The 9,065-nt window shown below is 45.3% G+C and overlaps 1 annotated feature.

Moving 5' to 3' along the window:
• Nucleotides 7,095-7,738: an enhancer, noted in NCBI's record as "H3K27ac-H3K4me1 hESC enhancer chr9:38672265-38672908 (GRCh37/hg19 assembly coordinates)". NCBI's record gives its function as "activates a minimal SCP1, AML or CMV promoter by ChIP-STARR-seq in primed H9 embryonic stem cells {active_cell/tissue: H9 hESC(primed)}" and the evidence as "EXISTENCE:reporter gene assay evidence [ECO:0000049][PMID:30033119]".

Raw genomic sequence — 9,065 nt, 5'->3', positions numbered from 1 at the left:
CCTACCCCCTTTTGTCTATAAACTTTGACTCATCTTTGGATTTTGGCTTAAAAGTCACTTATTCAGAGAAGGCTTCAAAACCAGGCTCAGTGCCCCACTGCACATCACCTTGGCTTCACAGCACTTGGTGGCAGTGATGTGATGGTCGGATTGGTGTCTGTTCCTCTTACTAGACTGCAGGCTCCATGCAGGCAACACTCAGGCCTGGAGGGTGTAAGGCACATGGTTGGGTTCCATATAGCCTAGTTCAATGAACAATGCTTGAATGAATGGAGAAATGCGGTTCTACCCACAGTGAAGACCACCCTTGACATCATTATAGAAAATCATGTGGTTCTATGGTGTCTTAAAAACTATTTCAGAGTAGGATCTTGGCTTCACCTTTCGAAAACCAAAACGCACAGTGAAGTGTCTTTTCTCCCTTTTCTCAAACAGAAGAGCAATTTTCCTCCAACCATTAATTTGGGCTTCATCTCTTACAAAAGAGGAAGCCACCGGGTAGTTTCTAAATGGTAGGTTTTCCATTGATTTTGTTCATCAAAGTTTCAAAACTAGCAAATCTAGAATCAGACTTCTGAAGCAGTTCGTAATTTCTGAAAGCTAATGTGAAGTGGAATTTCTTTCTTTCTTTTTTTTTTTTTTTTTTTTTTTTTTGAGACGGAGTCTGACTGTTGACCAGGCTGGTGTGCAGTGGTGCGATCTTGGCTTACTGCAAGCTCTGCCTCCCAGGTTCACGCTTTTCTCCTGCCTCAGTCTCCCAAGTAGCCGGGACTATAGGCGCCTGCCACCACGTTCTGCTAATTCTTTATATATTTTTTTAGTAGAGACGGGGTTTCACTGTGTTAGCCAGGATGGTCTCGATCTCCTGACCTCGTGATTCGCCCACCTTGGCCTCCCAAAGTGCTGGGATTACAGGCGTGAGCCACCACTCCCTGCCGGAGCTTCTTTTACAGTAAGACACTCAGCCCGATCCTCCCCACCATGTCTGCAGAGAAACACTCTCTCACCCATCGGGGATTGAGTGTGGAACATGCAGATGGGTCTCCCTGGAACCGGAAGTGTGTCTGCACCCGCCAAGTTCATGAAAAACTCAGCCACGCTGGACTCTAGGAAGCCCTGCTATGGGGCCAGATGGGGTGGATCTAGGATTTCATGGGACCAAGGACTCAACCCAGAGTTAGAGCAAGAATAGGTAACATTCACTTATGCGACCGTTCACACTGTGTTACTCATAACACCAGGAGCAAGAGATGAACCTCATCGGCATCCACAATAGCATCCTAAGGAGATAACATTCAGAGTTCAAGCAGCTGCCCCAAGAGGCTTTCAAGGAGTGCTGGGCCAGATTTGTTATCTGATTTTAGTACTAAAACTCTTGTGCTTTTCACTCCAGTTTGCTCCATATGGCATTCACCACTGCATTTTTGGAAGCAACTTCCACTATAATGGCACCCTCGAAGTGGCATAAAGATCTGGTCATTTGCACCATGGGCAAAGCCATACAAAGTAGAAAGATTTGTGCCCTATGACTGTAAGGCCTTTTAATGTGACTGAACACTCAGACTTGACCACACACTCTGTGGTTGTTCAGAGTGTGTGGACTCTCTGGCTGATCAAAAGCCCGAGAGGGGGCAGCACATGATGAGCAGGACTACCCGGTAATGCTAAGCCCCTAAAAAGTCCTGGTCCCATGAGCCATGCCCCAGGCTCTGCCTCGACTGTTCGGAGTGTCCTGTGTAAACACTGTCTTGAAGCTGGTGTCTATTCTGGCTTTCTGCAGTTTCACTTAATCTTGAGGGGAAAAGCAAGGATGCCCTCTGCCTCCATGCGTAGATTCCCATAAGCTGGGTCCCCCGGGCTTCCTCTAAATCCTGCCTGTCCCCACCCTCCTCATGGAGATCCCAGTGAAGAACACGCTAATCTCTTTGAGCCAGTGAGGAATGAAACGCATAAGTCTCCCACTGCAGGATCAGGGCGTGCTGAGATAACCCCTCCAGCTCTTGGCCCAGGAGGTGATAAAAGAGGCACCTGCCATGAAGTCACCAGCTGAAGCCTTCACCCTTGGCCCTCAGCACCCCCGTCCAGCCTTGGCCCCACTGAGCCAACGATTCCAGTGACCCTAAACATCCCACAGTTCCATATCTCCCGTCTCCCCATGAGGCTTCCCTGCTTTCTGTCGACAAAGCTGCCTTTCATCACCTCTGTGGCATGTTCCCCTCCACTCGCCCTCCATGACCCTCACCTCCTCTGCCCTTGGCCGCAGCTCGTTCCCCTCCATGTCAGCTGTCAGACTCCAACTGCAGCAGCCCTTGAGGCACTCAGCTTTATTCACACAGCAACACAAACACACATCCCCCCAAACTTTTGTTCTCTGCCTCCTTTTAGGTTTTCCAAAGCTCCTTTGTTTGGAAAAGAAATCTTCCCAGGACTCCCTCATCTTACCTCCATAGTCTCACCTTCCACCAGATTCCAAGAAGATTTCAAACAATTTGGGGTGTGGGGGAAGTGTTTTATAATGATTTCTGTTCTTTTTGTGATTGCTAAAAAGTCATTTTCACCATCATTGTAATTATTATTTACTCTTGATTTTCACTCTGATCCCTACTTATACAATTATTTCTCCTGACATAAAAACCTTCTGCTTTTGTATTCCTTTAAATTAATGGTTTTATTGTTGAATCTTAACTTTGTCCCCTTAAGAATAGTTTCCAGTGAGTTCTGCATTTTACAGTCTGTACATGCTCATTTTTCCTTTCAGGTGTGTGTTTTCTCACATGATGACTTCACATGAGGACACACTGTAAGTGTAAAGGCATCCAAGAACATGCTACGGTTGGGGATCACATCTCCCTGAGGCACAGAGGACTGCTCTGTTTGTTCAGGTATTTATTCCTGTTCATTGACTCTTCCTTGCTTTTCGGGAAAAATCGATGCCCTTAGAAAACCACCAGAGGACCAGGCAGAGTGGCTCGCGCCTGTAATCCCAGCACTTTGGGAGGATGAGGTGGGAGGAACCCTTGAGCCTGGGTGGTCGAGACTGCAGTGAGCCATGATCGTGCCACTGCACTCCAGCCTGGGTGACAGAGCAAGACCCTATCTCAACAATAACAACAAAAAGAGCCACCAGTGGTTGTAGAGAAATGCTAATGATTTTTTAAGGGGAAATTCTTAAGTGCAACGAATCCATTATCAAGTGCTTACTTATTTCTAGCACCTATAGTTTAAACAATTTTACAATTTTTTTTTTTTTTTTTTTTTGAGAGAGAGTCTCGCTCTGTCACCCAGGCTGGAGTGCAATGGAGCGATCTTGGCTCACTGCAAGCTCCCGGGTTCATGCCGTTCTCCTGCCTCAGCGTCCCGAGTAGCTGGGACTACAGGCATCTGCCACCACGACTGGCTAATCTTTTGTATTTTTAGTAGAGACAGGGTTTCACCGTGTTAGCCAGGATGGTCTTGATCTCCTGACCTCGTGATCCACCCTCCTCGGCCTCCCAAAGTGCTGGGATTACAGGCGTGAGCCACTGCGCCCGGCCCCATTTTACTATTAAAATTATTCATGACCATGCATTTTAGAGGGCTCACTTAACAAACTTACTGTTGAAATTGCAGAAGTGGAAAGGTGGGAAAGCAGCACTGAGGAGGAACAGCACATGGAACTGGAAGCAACCATGCAACTTTCTTTAAGCTAATCTGAAAGGGCAGTGCCCAGCTACAAAGTTGGGCATTGTGTTGGGAATTAACTTGTCTTTCTGTACTGAGTTAAGTAAGGAGAAGGGTTGCTGTGCTCTTCCATGTAGAGAGTTTGGTGGTGGGGGAGGATCTGAGTCTTCTAACAACAGCAACACAAGCTCTGACCAGTTCCTAAAGTGGAAGGTGCCCTCAGCCCGGTGGCCAGCATGGGAGGCAGCTGGAATGATGGGGATGCTGTGCTCATCAAACCCTCTGTCATTTGGTGAGTTCAAACCTGACTTCCTACTGCTTCAAGAGCATAAATCAGAAGAGGATTTATAAGGACTTGACATCTAGCTTAGAAGAACAAAGTAGTATAATGAGACCAAAATACAACCATTCAGAGGCTTTTCCTTCTTCCTTCTCACACTGTCACTTTGGCAAAAGAGGCCTCAGTTGTCATGCTTGGTTCGCTATCCTGGGAAAATTCCTTAGAATGTCACTTTCTTATGGCTGCTGCATTCTTAGTATTTTATTCCAAAGTCACCCACATTCTCCAGATTTAGAGGCTTTGGGGCCCAAAAGTGAAAAGGGGCATCTAGTAAACGAACAACATAACATTACTTGCATTTTTTACATTTTCAGGACTTGGTATGTTTTAATTTACATAATGCCTTATACATAGCACTTGAAGCTTGTTTTGCAGAGTAGAATAAAAGATATATAGAACTTTTAACATTTTAATCATTCCCAGTCATGAAGCATCCGATTCAAACATAATCACTAACTCTGAAGACAAGGATTATCCATGGCTGTGTAACAAATTACCCCCAAAACTCTCCGGCTTAAAACACCCATAAACATTTATCACCTCTCAAAGTTTTCTGTGGGGCAAGGATTTATGAGCAGCTTCCCTGGGTGGTTCTGGCTCAGGCTCTCTCATGAGGCTACAGTCAAAAAGTCAGGACTGCCGGGGCCTGATGACTTGAATGGCTAGGGAATCCACTTGCACATTGGCGAGCTCACACAGCCGGCACAATGCTGCTGGTTGCTGGTGTGAGGCCTCAGTTCCTCATCAAGCGTGCATCTCCCCAAGGCTGCTTGAGAGTCTTCATGACATGGTGGCTGCCTTCCCACAGAGTGTCATCCTGGCAGAGACAGAGCCAGGTGGAAGCTGCATCCTTTTGATGGCCTAGTCTCAGAAGTCACATGGCCTCACTTCCACCACCTTTATTCACTAGCTGTGAGTCGCTAAGTTCAGCCCATATTCAAGGGGAGGGAGTTACAGTCCACGTTTTGAAAGGAGGAGCATCAAATAATTTGCAAACATGTTTTGAAACCATCAGTGGTTATATTTTCAGGCCAATGATTTTAAACCATTATAACTTATTTTGAAGTACACTTATACCAAGTAAAATTCACAAATCTTAAGTGTAAAGCTTAGTGACTTTTCACATGAGTAAATGCCTGTGTAACCATCACCTAGGTCAATATATGGAATGTTTGAAACACCTCAGAAAGTTCCACCATGCGAGTCTCTGAATTTGAATGTTTTGTGTACACCGTTATCACCTGCAAATAAAGACAGCTTTAATTCTTCCTTTCTAGACTTTGTAACTTTCATTTATTGTTCTTGACTTACTGTACTATCAAGGTTGAATAGAGCTGGTATGAGTGGGTATCCCTGTCTTGTTCTCAACTTAGGGGGAAATGTGTTCACTATTTCATTGTATTTATCTGTAGAGTTTTTAATAGATAACTTTTATCGGATTGAGAAAGCTTTCTTCTGCTCCTAGTTTGATTGAGCTTTGGATATAGAAAAGTAAATAGAATCACGACTCATGATTTTGCTACTTGGTCATAGCTTTAAGCATTTGCTAGAGTACTGTCTTTAGCTGTGAAGGTTCTTTATCTAATTTACAAAAAAAAGCAAATTGTGCTAGGCCTACACATGGAAAAATATTGTCCAGGCAGTCTTCAATCTCCAAATATGTTGATCTTCAAATGTGTATGTTTGTCAGTTCCTTGGGAATTGTGAGACTTTTTCACATGAAACCTTAGTTGTGCTCGCTGCTTCAGTATTTAGGTCAATTCCAAAAGTCTATTTAATTACCTTATGCCCGAAGCATGGCTCTGTGCTATGGTGGCGGAGAGTGGGAGAGGGGTTTTGAAGAGAAATGGAAGGGAGAAGAGAGAGGAAGCCTAGGCACCAGCAGCACCAAATACAGCAGCGTACAGAGAGTACAGTTCTCACAGCCAAAGACGCACGGAGCCACCCCAAAGCCGGGTGTGGCTGACATTTGTGAATTGGCATTCTGTAACTCAGGGCTCTATAAACCTTGCCACATGTGGTGAGAATTTTTAAATATCTCAACAGCCAATTCACATGGCTTCAAAAGCAATAAATTTTAAAACAAGAACTTTTGAATGGCACTGACAAAGTGTCCTCAGATTCATTATCACATTTACTCTTCAGCGCAGCCCTGTGAGGTTCACATCCAGGCCTCACGGAGGAGGACACTGAGGCCGGGAGACTTTCCAGGTCTTGCCGGGGATGGCACAGCTTGGCTTTGGTGCCCAGGACTGAGCCATGACTTAGGGCATGCGCTCTTTTCATTGTATTGTGTTCGCAACGATTGCCTAACAACTTTTTGTACGGTTTTTAAAAATTACTGCAGCAGATATGTCTGTGCTGAATGTAACTTAAGATGTTAGTTTGCTTCACGTAAACTGAAGCGGCTCATTTTCGGTCCCCAGCTTTTCGTCACGGTGCGTTTAGCCATTTGGCTGAACAAATAGAGGGACTGTTTCTTCCTCCTCCTTCTCTCAGCACATTCACCTTTTCAGCACAGAATTTTATGAATTCTGCTCCAGTTGTCCAGGTGTAAGAGAGGGAGAAATCTGGAGAAGGAATACTAATTCTATAACTTGGCAGAGACTATCTGCCATAAGCCTAATAGTCAATGAAAACCACTGAGCGTACACATTTCATTTACATTTCCCATCGCCAAGTGCAAGGCCCTGCCTTGGGAACTTTTAGGGCCATAACTGTGGAGTTTCAGAGAGCAAGTCTCAATTTACTAGTTAGTCCTTAATGTAGATGTTTGGACCACTCTTGTTTTTAAAGTGGTAAAACACACACCAGAACACTGTCGAGCATACACGTTTTGGATGTCAGATTGATTTTCAGGGAGGCAGTGGTCTGCAAAGCTGGCAGAGGAGTGGCCCGGCGCGGTGGCTCACACCTGCAATCCCAGCACTTTGGGAGGCTGTGGTGGGTGGATCACTTGAGGTCAGGAGATGGAGACTATCCTGGCTAACACGGTGAAACCCGGTCTCTATTAAAAATACAAAAAATTAGCCGGGCGTGGTGGCAGACGCCTGTAGTCCCAGCAACTCGGGAGGCTGAAGCAGGAGAACGGCGTGAACCCGGGAGGCGGAGCTTGCAGTGAGCCAAGATTGCGCCACTGCACTCCAGCCTGGGCGACAGAGCGAGGCTCCATCTCAAAAAAAAGAAAAAAAGAAAAAAAGAAAAAAAAAAAAAGCTGGCAGAGGAGCTCCTTTGGATAGAGGACACTTCAACTTTGATGGGGGCGGGGTTCCCCGGCTCTCTCTGGAGTGAAAACCCCGTGCACCACAGGGCACTTCCGTGAGCCGGAGGAGCAGCAGGGCCTGGCGAGCCCATCACAGAGGGAGCCTGCGGTTTCAGAGGCGACCACAGATCCGGCTGAAGAGCTGGTCCGAGAGCAGCTGGCTCTGCTGGGTGTGGCCAGCGTCTCTGCGGGGTACAGACCCAGCAGGGGGCAGCAGGGCCCTCAGCGCTCACATAACAAGCGCTGACCTCTGGGGAAGGCAGGCTCACATTTCCTCAAGGTTTTCTATTTGCACCAGATGAATTCAGTGTCAAATATGAAAGGGCATCTTTCCAAGGGCCGTTAAGAGAGTCTCGTTTACTATGTAAACAAGGACAGAAGGCATCGAAGCCGGCATGCCATTATTCCTTGGCTTCTGAACGTTCGAGTGGAACTGCTTGTCCCGTGATTGCTACTAGCATTAAAATATTGGTTGGATTGTCCCATGAACATGAAAGTTTACAGCAAAGAGTGATTTTTCCAAAAGAGGAGCTGCAACAGTATTTGAGTTCCGCTTCTACATCCTTAATTTTCTGAGGTTCCCTCAGAAAATCGGCAGAGTGGGTAGGATTCAGAAGGTTTTTCAGGGCTTCGATTAGTCGGAATTTTTTTTTTCAGTTCCCTTAGAGATTTATTTTGAAGTGCCCCTGCCATGACTTTTCTGCCTGCCTGTGTGGCTTTCAAACCTGACCACCAAGTGTTTAGGGGTGAGTCATTTTCCCACAGGTAGGAGAGTAAGAAGAGTCTCTAGCCCCCACGGGGAGGGTCATGAGAGCAAACACGAGAGAGGACTTGGTCCTTACCAGAGGTCATCTCCAAAAAAGTGAGGTGTTCCAGTGATCATTCCCTGACCGATGACTTCCTGAGCTATTTTCTGCAGTAAACAGTCTCTATGAGATATCATAGGAAATGAGTTTTAGACTTTCTTTCACCAAACATTTCTTTTATTGTTTTCCAGTAACATTTGCATTGTTTCACCCTGATCTCATCTATTCACCATTTGTGACATTTTTTCAAGCCTCGGTTCACCTCTTTTTCATGTCCCCTTCTGGTCTTTTGAGATAACACTTTCAGAATTTTGCCATTCTGCTATGAGGCCTGTGTCTATTTGCGTGAGAAGAATTCCACGTGGAGGAGGTGAGGGCCCAGTTGTTTGGTTTGGAGAAGCCCATGACTGCTCATTCGTCTGAGGCCCTGCCTATGCCAGGTGTATGGAGTACTTTCATGTGACATGTACAGCTCTTCCAGCTGAGCATAAAAGCAGGCTCCTCACCCTTTTATCAAATAATTGACTCAGAACTTTAACCAAGACAGATACAAGTATCTTAAGACCTGAATTTATTTTTTAATTTACTAGACATTGTGTTTAGTGTACTAATTACAGTGTATAATTAAAGAACAGCGTAGGGTTGGCTAACATAGAAGGTGGTTAAACTCTGGTGTGCAATACCCTCTCAGTAAACTTTTAAATGGCATGGGTTGTGGTTGAGTGATATGGAGAAAAGTCTTGGCCTTTGGTTCCTATTACTACTTCTCATCTCTTGCTCTTATTTACTGTTTTGGGCTGTTCATGAAAGGGATTTTTTTCTACTCCCCAGCTCTTGCTCATAGGTAATTCAATAATAGTTAAGTCATAAATATCTTAAATGAGAAAAGTTTATTCCTATTTAGATTTCTAATTACTCCGCAGAATTTGAATTCCACATAATTTGAGATTGCTTTAAGAGTCCACTAATAACCAGTGCTGGAGTGCTCTCTCATCAC

Source organism: Homo sapiens, chromosome 9 (assembly GCF_000001405.40).
Source record: "Homo sapiens chromosome 9, GRCh38.p14 Primary Assembly".
Taxonomy (NCBI): domain Eukaryota; kingdom Metazoa; phylum Chordata; class Mammalia; order Primates; family Hominidae; genus Homo; species Homo sapiens.
This window is presented reverse-complemented; position numbering and strand designations above follow the sequence as displayed.